The 18,152-nt window shown below is 44.8% G+C and overlaps 1 pseudogene; it reads right to left on the reverse strand.

Moving 5' to 3' along the window:
• On the reverse strand, positions 353 to 989 carry RPL23AP96 (ribosomal protein L23a pseudogene 96; annotated as a pseudogene).

Raw genomic sequence — 18,152 nt, forward strand, 5'->3', positions numbered from 1 at the left:
TACATATATATGTATGTATATGTATATATACACACATATATATGTATATATACACATATATAACATATATCATATATGTGTATATGTACACATACACATACACACACACATATATGATATATATCACATATGTTACATATTATATTACATGTATGTATATATTATATATTATATATTATATATATTATATTATATATTATATATATTATATTATATATTATATATATTATATTATATATTATATATATTATATTATATATTATATATATTATATTATATATTATATATATTATATTATATATTATATATATTATATTATATATATAATATATATTATATTATGTATTATATGTATTATATATGTATATTTAGAATTGGCCAGCTTTTTAGATGATCTCAATTTTGTTGGCAACACCCAAAGCATTGTAATCAGGATCCAGTCAAACATATGCCTTCTTCTCTCCATCAGGCCGAATCAGGGAGTTGACCTTGGCCACATCCATGTCATAGAGCTTCTTCACAGCCTGTTTGATCTGGTGCTTGTTGGCTTTAACATCCACAATAAACAGAAGTGTGTTGTTGTCTTCTGTCTTCTTCACGGCCGACTCAGTGGTCAGCGGCAACTCGATGATAGCATAGTGGTCAAGCTTGTTCTCCAGGAGACGCTCTCCCGAGGATATTTTGGCGCTTGTTCTCCCGGTGGGGGGGAGCTCTCTCGAGGATATCTGGGCTGCTTGTTCTCCAGGGGGAGCTCTCTCGAGGATATCTGGGTGCTTGTTCTTCGGGGGGCGCTGTCTCGAGGATATTTGGGCTGCCTCCGGAGTCGCAGTGTTATCGGAAAGTGGGTGACGTGCGGATCTTCTTTTTTTTTTGTGGCTGTGGACGCCTTTCAACACTACCTTCTTGGCCTTCAAAGCCTTCACTTTGGCTTCCGCTTCAGGAGGGGCAGGAGCTTCCATCTTTGCTTTCGGCGCCATCTTGTGAAAAGGCTACGTTGTTTTTTTTTTTTAATTATGGAAAAATCTATATAACATAAAATTCACCATTATAACCATTTTTAAGTGTGCAGTTCTGTGGCACTAACTATATTTGTATTGTTATGCAACCACCACCACTATCCATCTCTAGATATTTTAAAATCTCTCCCAGTGGAAACTCTGTACCCATGAAACACCAACTCTCCATTTCCCTGGTAACCCCCATTCTACTTTCCATCTGTATGAATTCAGCTACTCTAGGTACCTCATATGAGTGGAATCATACAGTATTTGTCCTTTTGTGACTGGACTTATTTCACCTAGCGTAATGTTTTCAAGGTTCATTCATGGAGTAGCACGTGTCAGAATTTCCTTCCTTTCTAAGGCTGAATAATGTTCCATTGCCTGTGGACGACCCATTCTGTTCATCCATTCTGCAGTCCATGGACACTTGGGTTGCTTCCACCCTCTGGCCATTGCGAATAATGTTGCTGTAGACATGAATGTACAAATATCTGTTTGTATCTCTGCTTTCACTTGTTTTGGGTATGGATATGGTTTGGCTGTGTGTCCCCACCCAAATCTCATGTTGAATTGTAATCCCCTGTGTTGGGGCAGAAACCTGCTGGGAGGTGATTGGATCATGGGGGCGGATTTCCCCCATGCTGTTCTCATGATAGTGAGTGAGTTCTCACAATATCCGGTTGTTTAAAAATGCATGGCCTCTCCCTTCTTCTGCTCTCTCTTGCTCCTGCTCTGGCATGTGAGATGTGCCTGCTTCCCCTTTGCCTTCTGCCATGATTGTAAGTTTTCTGAGGCCTCCCCAGCCATGCTTCCCGTACAGCCTGTGGAACAGTGAGTCAATTAAACCTCTTTCTTTATAAATTACCCAGTCTCAGTCTCAGGTATTTCTTCATAGCAATGTGAGAATGGACTGGATCATATAGTAAATCTATGTTTAATTTTTAAGGAACCACCATGATGTTTTCCATAGCAGCTGCACCATTTTATATTCTCACCCATAGTGTGCAAGGGTTCTGATTTCTCTACATCCTCATCAATAAATGCTATAACATATAGTTTGCAGGCATCATATTTCATTCTTACAACAACCCAGCAAAGCAGACCGTAATGCCCAAATATAGACAGGCAGTTTGGAGATATTAGTGAAATACAAAACAACCTTTCCAGGGCCAGCTAGGAAAAGAGTGAAGTCAGGATCCAGACTTGGCTTTGGATTCCAAAGCCCATGCCCTTCCCAGCCTATCAGACTATATCTCTAATAGATGAATGCATTCTTAATTCACCTAAAATGTTAGTATAAATTATTACCTTTTAAACTGGGTACCTGCTCAATAGAGTATTTTGGGCACTGGGTTGTCAACAAATCATCTCTGCACCATGGTGTGCCTTGGTTCCGGGAGAGCATATTCTAATGCATAATTAGTAGAAATAATGGAGTCTATCATAGATTTGCTCTGATCTGAGATGGTTAGTAACAGGGCACACGGTGCACAGATTCCTTTCCTTTTACTCATTTGGCAAACAGTCACGGAGCCTATCCTCTGTGCCGGGATGTGCATGGGGCTGGGATTTTAGGGATTCAAAGGTTTGGTTCCTGCCTACGAGCCACTGAAGCCACAGGTGGCAGGGACAGTAAACAAGGTCTGCCCACAGCCGGATGAGATAAAAGCTGGTGGAGGTTAAGTGAAAGCCATCCCTGCTCTACTTTTGAAGGTAGGAACCACAGCCAGGTTTCACAAATAAAACTGATGACAGAACCCATGTGTCTCATTGCGCTGGCTGCTGAGAAATTGCGCAAACCGTGGCAACAATGAGCTTTTGTTTTGTGAACCCAAAGTATTAGAGACGGGTCTCAATCAATTTGGAAAGTTTATTTTGCCAAGGTTAAAGACTTGCCCGTGACACGGCCTCAGGAGGTCCTGATGACATGTGCCCAAGGTGGTCAGGGGACGCCTTGCTTTTTAAACATTTTAGGGAGATATGAGACAAATCAATATGTGTAAGCTGTACATTGGTTTGGTCTGTAAAGTTGGGACAACTCAAGGCGGGGGCTTCCACGTCATAGGTAGATAGGAGCCCAAAGTTTGCGTTCTTTTGAGTTTTTGCTCAGCCTTTCAGTGAATATACAATATATATGTGAGAGTGGGATAGGGGAATAGTCACTTATGTCTTAGTCTGGCTCAGTGAATCTGCATTCTCCATCAACAAAAGGGCAGAGGAAGCAATCAGATGTGCATTTGCCTCAGGTGAGCAGAGGGATGACTTTCTGTCCCACACCTGGGAAGGTAAGCTATCAGTTTACACTGTCAGGGTAAAATTCAGCAGAACTGTTCTAGGGGAAAAATCTTGAGGCCCACAAGGAATTTCCTTGTGGGAAAATTGTGAGGGAGGTGTGTAGCTTTTTAAATCTTTGCAGCTATCTTATCTAGGAATAAAATGGGAGGCAGGTTTGCCTATCGCAGTTCCCTGCTTGAATTTTCCCCTTGGCTTAGTGATTTGGTGGTCCCGAGATTGATTTTCCTTTCACAGGTTAAATAAATATGCCGTGCAATATTCTTAAATAGATGAACAAGATTATTAGTTGTTGAAAATCAGAGTCTTGAAATTTTTTAATGCATTCTTTTTTGTTTGAGACCAAGTCTCACTCTGTTGCCCAGGCTGGAGTGCAGTGGCATGATCTTGGCTCACGGCAACTTCTGCCCTCTGGGGTCAAGCGATTCTGGTGCCTCAGCCTCCTGAGTAGCTGGGACTACAGGCATGCGCCCCCACAGCTGATTAATTTTTGCATTTGTAGTAGAGATGGGGTTTCACCATGTTGGCCAGGCTGGTCTCGAACTCCTGACCTCAAATGATCAGCCTACCTTGGCCTCCCAAAGTGCTGGGATTACAGGCGTGAGCCACTGCGCCTGGCCCTTTCTAGTGCATTTGAATCAGTCTAAATATCAATGGGTTCCTTATTAGTTTGCCCATTTATTCATGGATGTTGATTGACTGCTTGCTGTGCATCTGGGAGCCTCCTGTCTCCCAGCTGGCTGTGCCCTCAGCAGCAACACTCTTGTCCCTCCCACGTGTGGGCCTGAGTCAGGGTTCACTACTGTGGGGAACTCGTGAGGGATTTGGACAGTTTTGGTGAAGTGCAGGCCACCATTCTTGGAGATTGGTGGAGGTTTCTTAGCCTTCTCGGCAACAGGCCTCAGCCATGGGTGGGGAGGCTTCTGTGACCTTGGTCTGCAGCCTGGAGGACGACACTTCCCCTGCGCCCGCCCTCCCTGTTTCCTGGCTCCACTTGCAGGGGCTCTGTCCTGATGCCAATCACATGGAGTCACAGGACAAGCAAGGTTCCTTCCCTCCTAGAACTTCTGTTTTACTAGAATAGGTTAACCCAGTGGAAAAGACGGACAACAGACCCATAAACTCTGTGTGTGTGTGTGTGTGTGTGTAAAATATGGTGTCAGGCAGGGGAAAGTGTGTAAAAAATTAATCAGGATAAGTGGATGAAGAGGTTAGTTTAAGAGGAGGCAGTCTGAGAAGGCCTCTCTAGAGAGGGAGCCACCAATATTGTATACACGCACGCGCACAGACACACACAGCCACACATACACACACACACACGTAGACACACTCACACATACAGACGCACCCACACATACAGACACACACAGACACACACACAGACACATAAGCACACAGACACACACACATACAGACACAGACACACATGCACAGACACACATGCAGACACACACACACAGGCACACACAGATACATAGACACACACATGCACAGACACACATACACACAGATACACACAGACACACAGAGACACACAGACACACACGCACAGACACACACACAGACACACAGAGACACACACATACAGACACACACATGCACATGCTGACCCACGGGTGCACATACACACACAGGCTGAGCCGGCTGGTATTTCCTCTCTTCCCCTGTTTTGCCCAGACACGCAGGCATCACGGTGTCTGCTGGCCACATCCTCCACCCAAACGCAAAAGCTGGGAGAGGAGCCTAGAGGGTAGGTAACAATAAGGTCAAGGGCAGTTGCTGCCTCAGAGGACACATCCCAGATGAGGCACAGGCTGGGAAGGAGCCCAGGGGCAGCAGGGACCCAGGGGGAAGAGAAAGGACAGGGGGAAGAGAAAGGATGGGGGAAGAGAAAGGACAGGCTGGATGAAGCCCCCCCACGATTCTTTCTGACCCAGCATGCCCTCCATCCACCATCCCTCAGCCCCAGTCACCAGCGTAGGCGCTCCAAGGACTGGTGTGAACTGAGGGCATGAGTGCAGCCTGGGGCACAGAGATGACTGTTCTCACTGCAAGCCTATCAAGCCCTCCTGGCTTCCACTCTGTGCTGCCTGAAATGTCTATAAATGGTGTCTGTAAGTCTGTGGCGTGTAAAGGCTGCCTTCCTCCTCCCTGATGTGCATAAGGGCAGAGCTGTAAGGTGAATTCTAGCCCAGTGGCGTATGCGAGCTGGACAGGTAGAGTGCAAGTACTTGCCTCCCTGAGTCTCTGTCTCATCCTGGGAGATAGGGTGACAGTGGCCTTATAGGACTGTTGCTGTGGAGGTCAAATGGGCTAAGGCCCAGTGCCTTCTGTGTGGCTAGGCTCATGGCTGTAGCATTGCAAGAATCCCAGGCTTTAGTGTCTGCGACTGTGAATTCCAGCATGGCTAATTATTAGACAAGTAACTGGGAGTATATAACCAAAGTGCCCGGGTCACATTTTCTGTAGCTGCAGAACAACACCTGTTTTGCATAAGACCAGATGGCAAAATGTGGGAAAATGCTGCACTGAATACAAGTTTGGGTTGACTGGCTCCACCGGGCCCAGGCGTGTGGCAGTTGTGATGGAATCCACTTCACGTCTTCCTCTGACAGGGTGTGTGTACTCAGCCCAGGAGCTGGGGAGACCTCATGTTCATATTAGTTTGGTGCAAAAGCAATTGCGGTTTCAGACTGTGAATTTTAAAAAATTATAACTAGGCTCAAATACATTTTTATTAGTCAAAATAGGAACCATTACAATCAACACATTTTTGCCAACAAGAAATAAGTTTGTTTATTCCTGTAGTGTAAAAATTTGTGTTTCAGGATTTGAGTAACTGTTGGAAAGCATTTTTCTGCATCCTGCTGGTTGCGGAAGTGTATTCCCTGCAAAAAGTTGTCCAGATGCTTGAAGATGTAGTTGGTTGGCAAGAGGTTCAGGTGAATATGGTGCATGAGGCAAAACGTCATAGCCCAATTCGTTCAAGTTTTGGAGCATGGATCGTGCAACTTGGGGTCGGGCATTGTCGAGGAGAGAATTGGGCCCTTTCTGTTGACCAGCGCCAGCTACAGGCATTGCTGTGTTCGATGCATCTCGCGGATTTGCTGAGCATACTTCTCAGATGTAATGGTTTCTCAGGGATTCAGAAAGCTATAATGGATCAGACCTGCGCAGACCAGACCACCAAACAGTGACTATGACCTATTTTTGGTGCGAGTTTGGCTTTGGGAAATGCTTTGGAGCTTCTTCTCAGTCCAGCCACTCAGTTGGTCTCCACCGCTTATCGTATAAAATCCACTTTTCATCGCATGTCACAATCTGATCAAGAAATGGATTGTCGTTGTTGTGCAGAATAAGAGAAGATGACACTTCAAAATGATGATTTTGTTTTTTAAATTTGTGTTTGGCTCATGAGGCACCCACTTATTGAGCTTTTTCACCTTTCCAATTTGCTTCAGATGCCGAATGACCGTAGAATGGTCGACGTTGAGTTGTTTGGCAACTTCTTGGGTAGTTGTAAGAGGATCAGCCTCGATGATTGCTCTGAACTGGTCGTGGTCAATTTCCCGTGGCCGGCCACTACGCTTCTCATCTGAACCCCCACTGTACTGTGTGTTCATTAGCAGTTCCTGGACCAAATGCGTTGTTGATGTTGCAAGTTGTCTCTGCTGCTTTATGACGCATTTTGAACTCAAATAAGAAAATTGCTCAAATTTGCTTTTTGTCTAACATCATTTCCATAGTCCAAAATAAATATAAAATAAATAGCAAGTAACAAGCCGTTAGCCAAAAAAAGTGAGAAATGTGCATTGAAATGTATAATATAACCACATTTATTTAGGAAGCTATTCCAATGTCAATTAGCAAATTTCCACAATACAAAAACTGCAATTATGTTTGCACCAACTAATAGAAAGCTTTCTATGCAGATACATGGAAAAGTGGGAGCTCCTAAACAGCAGGGACCAGGCCATATTTCTTATAGTTCTTGCACTCTGGCCACTTTTCGCATAGTAGCTGCTCAGTAAATAAGCACAGAATGAGTGTGGCTGTAGTTCCATGTTCAGCTTAACGGTACAACTAAAGTAATTCTTGACCCACAGCTGGGTTGAGCTATGCATGCCGCTGGAGCCCACTCACTGTGTGGTCCTGTTCGATTCCAGTCATCCACCCACCCATGAGCACAGAAGAGAGGGGTCCTGTAGAAGTCTAATACCCCTTCTTCTCAGGCCTCTGTTATCACAACATCACCAATTCCCTGCAAACCCTCCCAGAGCTTGCAAAATGCCAAATCCCAAAGGTGCCATGAAAGGATCCATGGCGCCCTGGATCCCTGGCAGAATCTTTTCCACGGCAGGATCTTTTAAGGGAGTGGTGGAGAGGGTGAACATTTGACTTCAGTTATCTTTTTCAGTGAAGAAGCCACTAAAAGTGATTCTACCATGGGAGGGACACCAGTGGAGGAGAGAAGTGGGGAGCACCAGGGGCCACTAGGATTCTGGGTGCTTTGACTGTATTTTCTCATTTAATTTCAGAACCCCAAATCTGAATAGCACCATGTCAAAATAACTAAAGAGATAAATTTCATGAGAGCTAGAAATAATATTGTCATGACGGTTATTATTTAAATATTTTTGGTACAATTTGGGATTTTTTTTCTAAATTCTCATGGCACATCTGAGAGGTCTCACAGAGCACCAGTGTTTCAAGGAATAGGAAGACATGACCAAGAGTGCAACTCGTGGATGGCTGAGTTCTTGCTTCTGCCTCTGGAACAATGTTTGGTCAGGTCAAAACAATTTCTTAAGGTGCTTACAAATCTTGACAGCAAAAACATCCATTTTTTAAAAATTTTTTAAAAAGAATGGAAATCTGAGAAGTAATCAAATTCAAAGAAAAAATGTTATTTTGACGCTCACAAACTGTTGGCAGTTCGGCAATACTATAACATGTACACACCCTTATTATTATTTTTGAAAAATGAGATAATTAAAAGTATTTTATGTATGTTTGTTTTATGTTATAAACTTGAAATATTTTTAAATTGCTTATAAACATACATAAAATACATATTAAATATAATGGTTGTAGTTAAACACAGGTTTCTGTGGCCACTATATCTATATTATATGGAAACTTCAACTTCATCTCTCCCTACCAAAAAGACTTCTGGGAACTTGAAATGTAGTTTAAAAACCACTTTGTTTTTCTTTTCTTTTTCTTTTTTTTGTTAGACGGAGTCTTGCTCTGTCACCAGGCCAGAGTGCAGCCGCATGATCTCGGCTCACTGCAACCTCTGCCTCCCCAGTTCAAGTGATTCTCCTGCCTCAGCCTCCCAAGGAGCTGAGACTACAGGCGCCTGCCACCACTTGGGCTCTGCTAATTTTTGTATTTTTAGTAGAGATGGGGTTTCACCATGTTGGCCAGGATGGTGTTGATCTCTTGACCTCATGAACCACCCGCCTCAGCCTCCTGAAGTGCTGGGATTACAGGCACACGCCACTATGCCCAGGTAATTTTTTTTGTATTTTTAGTAGAGATGGGGTTTCACCATGTTGGCCAGACTGGTCTCGAACTCCTGACCTCAGGTGATCTGCCCCCCTCGTCCTCCCAAAGTGCTGGGATTATAAGCGTGAGCTACTGTGCCTGGCCTAAAAGCCACTTTCTTAGCCAACCTCTTTAACAAAACTAATTTGCAAGAAACAGAATCTGGAAACTTAGCGTTTGGTTATTATTCATTGTACCACTCAACCAAAGCTTTACAAATTTTGACTTTGGCATATGACTTCAAAATTTTTAGAAAGACACACTCTAGCTAGAATTCCCAACTATCTCCTCTGTCTATCCTTCCATTTGAGCAAACATTTTATGCAGCTCTCTGTGGTGGACTCCAACTTTCAGAGACTCAGAAACACGGCTGCCTGTGCAATGCTGATATCATAGAGCAATAGAAGCAGCGCCATGAAAGAGGTCCTCTCCTCTACCTGATCATTTTGCAGAGGAGGCCCAGAGAGGGGGAGGGACGGCATTAATTCATTCCTTTATTCATTCATTTGGCATTTATTGAGCAAGTGTGCTGCAAGTATGCCATTAGGGTGTGGAATTACAACCATAAATAAAATACTGTTTCGACCATTTCAGAACATAGTTTAGTTGAGGAAAAAGACACACCAACAACCAAAGCATGATGAGTTATCATAGGAGCACCTTTCCTTCAGGAAACAGCTGTTGGTCGTTTGTTGTATGCCAGGTTCTGTGCTAGGCTCGGAGAATATAGGGGATAAGTCAGAGAGGTCCCTGGTCCTGATGGAATTTAAACACACATCAGGAAGTAGATTTGAACAAGATCATGAGAAATGTTGAGTGGCTGGTTGTGGCAGCTCATGCCTCTAATCCCAGCACTTTGGAAGGCCAAGGCAGGAGGATTGCTTGAGCCCAGGAGTTCGAGACCAGCCTGGGCAGCATAGCAAGACCCTGTCTCAAAAAGAAAAGTTAACAAATAAATAAAAAGGAAATAGCGTTCAGCAAAAATGTTGCAGGTCCTCACCACGTTCTTCACAGGCACACGTCGGGGAGAGAAGAGAGGGCATCAGAGGTTGCAGACTTACCAACAGCCGTGGTGGAGCCCGTTGGCTCCCTGGAACTCTCGGGACTGCATGGTGTGGCTCAGCATAGGTGGCCTGCGAGGATCTTGGTAGGCAGTCCACAGAGAGAGGCCTTGTCCTCCGTAGTGATCACTATTTCAGGGATGGACTAGAGGTTAGGTCAAGGAACAACTAAATGTCATAGAGAGTGATGCTCCCTGCTCAGAGAAGTGGCTCTCTTAGAAAGGGGACATCTCGGTGGCAGGGACTGGCACACCCTGATCTGCCACCGAGCTGACTCAGGTGTGCAGGGCCGGCCCTCTCTAAGCTGCATAATGGGGAGGAAATGGGCCCCCACGTCTCTGCATTTGCCTTTCCTTCAATACTGAAGGCCATGTGCATAGGGCTGTGTGATTATTTCAGCAGCGCTTGGCTGGGTAAAGGTGGCAGAATAAACGGAACAGACAGGATGATCCAGACCTAGGTCCGCCTAGACGCATGCATGTGGCACAACGTGTGACGGAGCCACTTCACAGCTGCCTTTTTGATAAGCCATTTACAGGACTTCAGGATGCTTCTTGAGGACAATGGGATGTCATCGAAGGTATTGAGAACGATGTGAAGAAATCGTTTTCATTTTTCTTTTTTTTTCTAGAGACAAGGTCTTGCTCTGTTGCCCATACTGGTATGCAGTGGCACAGTCATAGCTCACTGCAGTCTAGACCTCTCTAGTTGGAGCAATACTCCTACCTCAGCCTCCTGAGCAGGTGGGCCTCCAGGCTTGTGCCACCACACCCAGCCATTTTTTTCTTTTTTTTGAGACAGAATCTTGCTGTGTCACCCAGGCTGCAGTGCAGTGGTGCAATCACAGCACACTCCAGTCTTGACCTCCCACCTCAGCCCCTAGAGTAGCTGGGACTATATCCAGCTGTTTGTTTATTTTTTTGTTGAGATGAGGTCTCACTCTGTTGCGCAGGCTGGTCTTGAACTCTTGAACTCAAGTGATCCTCCCACCTTAGCCTCCCAAAGTGCTGGGATTATAGGCATGAGACACTGCACCTGGTCTAATTCCTTTTCATTTTAAAAAGATGTGGAGGAAGTAGATTGGAACGAGGGCAAGGAAGATCCAATGAGACAAGCTGAGTGGCTGTTGTAATGATCTAGGTTGCTGGAGATTTTTAAAAATGTATTTTGTTCACTGTTTTATTCCCAGAACCTAGAAGAGTGCTTGTTTCCAAATAGACACCCAGTAATAGTTAATCAACAAAATTCAGTTGCTGGTTTGAGGGTCAGTGGAACGTGGGTCCCTTTTACTGACACGTGGAATTGCTGATCAAATCTCCTCTTAGCATTATTATTTCCAGTGACTCTGGAGAGGGAGGGCCCTTTTCCAGGCTTTAGGGCCAACTGACAGAGAAAAATGAAAACCCAGGTACCACAAGGCTGAAAGGTGAAGACGGAGTCATCTCAAATTCTTCCCAACCAGCTCATCAAGATCTGCTGGTTGATATAAATGTGTTACCTGGAAGGATGACTTCATGTGTTTGTTTTCTGTTTTGAAGAAAGGAAGTGTATTTGGCAAGGGAACTTCTTCCTTTGTTCAGCTCTGGGAATCCTTAAAGTCAACAGATTTCCAGCAGGTTATACTCAAACAAGGTTGTGTCTCATGGCAAACAAGGCCTTAGAAACAGACAGGCCCAGTTTTGAACACCAGCTCAACCATTCTCAAGACATGCGATCATGGGCAATTAACCTATTTAATATCCATGACTCAGCTTTTTCCATCTATAAAATGAAATAATCCTGGTGCCTATATCATAGAATTGTTCTGAAAAATAAATGAGATAATATGTGTAGTGCATTAATTAAAACATGGAAGCAATAAGCACTTGCTGGATGTCAGGGGTCATTACTTCCACTACAGTTAAAGTGGAAAATGGAAAGAGGCCTGCTGGAGCCAGATGTCCCCTGGCGGACGCTCTGGTCTGGGGACAGGCGACACACCTGAGTGGCCTATTGCCTTGTGCTGATGGCTTAGCCTGGTATGTCTGCTGATCACGAGCCAGGAGGAGTGGGAACTGAGCCATAGCCACGTTGGAGGAAAATCCAGGAGCAAACTCCATGAGAGAGTCATGAAATCTGGCAGTGGAAGGGCTGCCGCCTGGAAGCTAGTGCTTGGTATATCTGCATGAGAAATTAAGGGATCAGGATGGGAATGTCTTTACGTTAAGCCTTTTCTGCTTGAGGTGACTGCATATGACAGGGGACCCAGAGTGACAGCATAAGCTGTGGTCTCCCTGCAGACTTACATGTGTCGTGGAGTCTGCGTAGGTGGCAGAGAGCTTGAGTTGCTCCACGGCCAAAGAACCCATGCTCAGTTAAGAGAATGTGAAGACCACACGCTTGGGCCAACCATGCTGGGCCGGTGTTGGATTTGCAGGCAGGTTCTGAACACAGAGTGTCAGCCGCTACTTAGATTGTTCTTTTTCACATGGGGTCGCCAGTCTGAATGCCTCCCTGATGGGATCCGTGCTAAAACCCTAGGCAGGGGAAGTGTAAGTTCCCAAATGAAAAGGGTGAGTCACTGAAGTAGGGTCAGAGGGAGGAGGCAGCTCCTGGGGTAAAACCTGCATCAGAGGTAAAAGGGAAGAGCCTCTTAGCAGGGAGCCGGCTGGCCTTGCTGCCTGGGCAGATGCATCTTTTACTTTCTTATATGTTTATCAGTCCAGGAAAATGTAAGCCCAGCGCATTCAGGGGGCTTAACGCCTTTGTTTTCCTGCTGTGTCCCCAGCTTGGAGAAACAGGCCTAGCACAGCAGAGATGCTCAAGACATATTTGTTGAAGAAATGAATGAATGAATGAATGGATGCAGATTCACTTACGCAGCAATCCCCTGTCAGGTGAGAAGGTAGAGAGTGCTGCTCTAATCACTTCTCTCTTTACCTCTCTGCCTTACCAAATTCCTCCTATCTTATGAGGTTTAGTAAAAATATCACCATTACCAGCTGTTTTATTTTCCCCTAAAATGGCTTTTTATCTGTTGTTGACATGTACCTCGGCCCTGGATGGTTTATGGTTTTGCCTTATTTTGCCTTTGTTCGGTTTGGTATGAATTTGATATGAGATTGTAAGTTTTTTGAGGGAGAGGCCATGCCTTAGAATCACAGACCTCTCCAGTCACAGCGTCCCGAGGAAAGGAACTGAGGCTCAGAGAAGCAAAGCCACACAAACACTACACAGCCCTTTGTGTGTTAAAGTGGCTCCACCATTTCTTTCTGGGGAGACTTGTGACCTTGTCCATAAATGCATTCTTAGCACTCCTCCAAATGGTAGTGTGCTGGCCTTCTGTGGAGGGATGTGGCCTCCTAAGATGCCTCAACTTTCTCCAGAGGATGACAGCCTTTCACAAAAGCACGTCATTTCCAGTTGAACTGTGGTAAAAAGAAACCAGGCGGCATTTCAATGAGAACATAGAGCGTCTGTATCCCAGGCATCTGCTGGGATGTTCCTGTCAATGCCCTCCCCACAGCACTTACCACAGTTGCAGCAGGAGACACGTTCTGTGTAGAGGATGCTTCGTTCTTTTGGTGCTTTAAAAATTACGCCTGGGTTCAGAGCCCAGGGTGCCCACCTTTACACGATGGAACCACCAGGAGAGATTAACTGAGGGTCTGACACCTTCTTAGGTCTGATTAGAGACATTTACCGTCTAATCTCCCTGAAGCCTCCCTGGAGGCTTCATCTGTACAATTAGAACCTTGGTCTCTACAACGCATTATCTTAATCCAGACACTCTTTTCTTTGATTCCAGGTCTTTAGATAATAACTCTTTCAACCAATTGCCAATCAGAAAATCTTTCAATCAGCCTGTGACCTGGAAGCCCCCAGTTCGAGCTGTCCCCCCTTTCTGGTCCAAACCAATATACATCTTACATGTATTGATGAATGTCTGCCTGTAACTTCTGTTCCCTTAAAATGTATAAGATAAAGATGTAACCCAACCACTTCTGGCACATGTTCTAAGGATCTCCTGGGGCTGTGTCGGGGGCCTTGGCCACTCATATCTGGCTCAGAATAAACCTCTTTAAATATTTTTTTAAAATCCCCCGATTAAGCCAGATTGACAGGGGAACCTACAGGGAGACATTAAGACATTCGTTTTTTGTTTTGTTTTGCTTTGTTTTGTTTTGTTTTGTTTTGTTTTGTTTTGTTGAGACAGGGTCTTGCTGTGTCAGCCAGGCTGGACTGCAGTGGCACGATCATGGCTCACTGTAACCTCAATCTCCTGGGCTCAAGCCATTCTTCTACCTCAGCCTCCTGAGTAGTGAGAGTACAGGTGTGTGTTACCACACTTAGCTAATTTTTGTTTTTTTTTTTTTTTTGGAGAGACAGGTTTCACCATGCTGCCTGGGCTGGTCTTGAGCTCCTGAGCTCAAGCAATCTGCCCGCCTTGGCCTCCCAAAGTGCTGGGATTACAGGCATGAGCCACCACATGTGCTGACAACATGAGTTTTCTTCTTTGATATATGTATATGTTTTTAATGAACTGAACTGTGAGTCTACATTGAGTGACATGATGACAACCAGCCTTCGAAACTCGCTGTGTGGACATTGGTGAGGACATCGTACCCAGCATTACACATTGAACAAGTGGGCTTAGAGAAAATGAAGGAAGTTTCCATTCAGGAAGGAGCTAAACCAAACCCCAGTTGTAGGGGACACTATTGTTCTAACTGAATAGTTAATTTCTTTGGAGCAGGCCAACATGAAAGTTATAGGAATGAAATGTCCATGTGAGGTTCTCAGCAAAACATAAGTAGGAAAAGCAACTATTTTCTTTTGGCGTCATGTGCCAACCTGCCCTGTGAATGCTTGGAGGGAGGACAGACTTTTGCTCTGGAGCATTTTCTATCCTCGTGTGTAGCCGACATCCTTAATCAATCCCAGCATGACTGATTTCCTGATTTCTCCACAGCCAAGGTGAATGGGATAAAATGACTTGGACCACGTTTGCATGCGATGGAAGCCTGGCCACCAGCCTTCCTTTAGGAGTAGCAACCTAGCTTGTCCTAGGGTGCAATAATCTCAAGACCTGGGGTCTAGACAGGAAGAATTCCTCCAAGGAATCAAATGGGCCTCAAGTTAATGATTTGGGCTTTGCCTCAACCAGAGGCTGGACTACAGAGCAGATCTGGTTTTTCAAACCATCTCTTATGTTCATAGGATTCGATTTCAAAGAATTGAGATAGTATCTCAATTCTTCCTTGTAACAACACCCAGAGATAAGAACTACCTTAAATTTTACAGATAAAGATAATGAGACTGAGAAAGTTTTAAGTGACTTTTTCTACACTAAGTAGCTGAGTGTGGATCTGCGCATGGGCCACTGAACATCAGCCACTGAATGTGGGTCACTTGCCCAAGCCTACTGGCCCTGAGGCAAAGGCCAGAGAAAGGAAGCCTTGGAAGAGATAGTGTAATAGGAGCTGTGGAGTGGGGATCTGCACACTGGGCCATGCTGCTTGCAGATGTGAGCTTGTTGTGATTTCCCTACTCTTGGGATGCCGCCTTCCTTTCCCCAGGATGTTCTGTACGCGTGCATCCTCCTTCCCTGCTCACTGTGGTGCCTCCCAATCGGTCACCCCACTTCTGTCCTTTCTCCTCTTTAACCCTTTCGCCACTCAGCAACCAAAGTGATTTTTCTTTAAAAAATTATTTTAGTTTGGATTCAGAGGGTACACGTGCATGTTTGTTACATGGGAATATTGTGTGCTGGTGGGGATTGGGCTTCTACTGTTCCCATTATCCAAAAGGTGCACATTGTACCTGATAGATACATTTTCAACCCTCACTCCCTCGCTTCCCAGTCTCCCCTGCTCTTCAGAGCCCCCAGTGTCTTCTATTTCTATCAAGGTGAGTTTTCTGAGATGTAAATCAGAGATTACGCCATTTCCTTGCTCATTACTCCCTCGTGACATTTCGTGGTACACAGACAAGGAGCACGTCCTCTCCCTTGCACTCACCTTCTCCTCTGCAGGTGGTTGTTGCCCGCAGCTCCCTGCGCCCGGCTCCTCCTTGCCACTCAGACCTCATCAACACCTTTCCTGATCATCTGGGATGAACGCATCGCCCCCATGCTACTTTACTTTCTGGAGCTCTCATCCTCCTCCCTCTTTGTTTCCTTGGCCAGCTTTGTTTTTCTTGGCAGCATGGGTGGCTACCTAACATTGGATGCTGTGTTTAATTGCTTATAGTAGACACTTGTTTAATTGTTCACTCTTCACCCATAAAGGCAGAGACTCCTTTGTCGGTTGGTTGCTGCTCTCTCTCACCAAAATGTAAGCTCCCTGAGGGCAGGGGCCCTGACTTTCTTGGCCATTCCTGAATTCCACATGGCTAAGGCAATTGCTGATACATGATAGACCTCAAAAAAATGTTTGTTTTTTTTCAATCAATGAGAAAAAAAGGCAGCGTTTTGAATTGCAATGGAGAGAATAGGGAAATAAAAGCTTCAACCCAGACCTCATCCCTGGACAGAGAAAATCCCATGTACTGCATATATGGACACCAAGATGGGAACACATACCCCACCCTTCAGTGCATTAGTCCCTCATTCTGTTTCCAAACCTCACCCCTCCCTCGGCCCCACATCCCTCAGAATGTAGCTCAGTGTCACTTCTACGGCCCACCCTGATCAACTTGTTCATATCCCTTTAAGCACCTACCTGGCAATTTGGTAACTGTAGATTTCTCTGTCACCCCAACCCTGGAAGGCAGGGGTGGGCTTCTCCATCCCAGGGTCCCTTGCATCGTCCCTGCACATCACAGGGGCTTGGGGAACACCTGATAAATGATGAGGAGAGTGGATGAGTGACTAGCAAAGCCTGGAGTCAACTTTTGATGCCCTGAAGTCAATAAAATGACACAGGATGAAAAGGTCAAAAAGTTTCTTCAACGGCTCCTGCAGGAAGCATTTGAGGAGAGGAAATGATATTACTCAAACAGCATTGACTGTATTTTCTACTGTATTTTCTATATTCTTGATGCTGTGGTGTTTGGTGCCTTGATCCTGTAGGGACTGCCCATCAGGATCAGTGAGGAAAAAAAGACAGTGTTTTGAATTGCAGTTGAGAGAATAGGGAAATACAGGCTTCAACTCAGGCCCTGCCCCTGAACAGAGAACATTCCCATCTACATAGAGGGACACCAAGATGAGGACACATGTCCTGTCCTTCAGTGTATCGTCCCCCTCATTCTGCTAGAGCTAGCAAGCAGCTCCCTGTGAGCACACTCACCGAACCAGAGCCCATACCCTAACTACCTTCTCTATCAAACTTGCGCATACCAAGTAATATTTCCCCGGCCTGCCCTAAGTCACCCTAGAGCCATGTACCAAAAAATCAGGGGTCACCCCTACAGCTCAGAGCCTGTCAAAATTATCCCAAGTATCCAATTCTAAGCGTGGGGACCTAGGAGACCTGCCCTGCTTCATCCATTCCTTGCTGTGAGAACCCAAGGAAGGCTCTGGGCCATGCTCTCCCCTCTTCCTGCTGCTGCCTCCTGACGCATCGTGGTGATTCCCTCATGGCCTGGTGTGGCGGCCACACCCCCTGCTTCTGGGAATCTGTGAGCTTCAGCTTCTTCCTTCATAATATCACTTCATGCGTGTGTGAGTTTACCATGACTAATTAAAACAAACTCAAGCATTTTTAGAACACAGATCCTGTTCCGATGCTTTTTTGCATCCCCCAAAAAATAAATCCAATGAGGTCATGCATTCGATATACCTAAGAGACAGTGATCAACTTGCTAGACATCTTTCTATGCAAATAAAGCATAAAAATGATGTACAAATCTTTACTTAGCCAAAAAAATGTTTCTGGTGGATTTTATGCAAGAAGATGGAAAAAGAAAATGATGATCATGGTTCAAAATGTTCTAGTTTCTTAGGGTTCAAAGTACAGGGAAAAAAAGAAAGAGAAAAAAAGTATTTAAAACAGAAAGAAAAAAATTTAAAAAAAGAAACAAAAAGAAAATAACAAAATGTTCTTGCTAGCTTCTTGGGGTTCAAAGTAGAAGACAAAAAGAGAGAGAAAAACATAGTTAAAACAAAAAGAAAAAAATTAAAAAAAGAAACAAAAAGAAAATAACAAAATTTTCTTGCTACAAAAGGAAAAAAGACAGTCAAGGGGCCTGACAATATCCAGGGAAGAGAGAGACACAATCTGCTCCTACTCTGCAGTCCTGTGTGTGTTTGTCCATGTGAGTCCTC

Source organism: Homo sapiens, chromosome 8 (assembly GCF_000001405.40).
Source record: "Homo sapiens chromosome 8, GRCh38.p14 Primary Assembly".
In the NCBI taxonomy this organism is placed as follows: domain Eukaryota; kingdom Metazoa; phylum Chordata; class Mammalia; order Primates; family Hominidae; genus Homo; species Homo sapiens.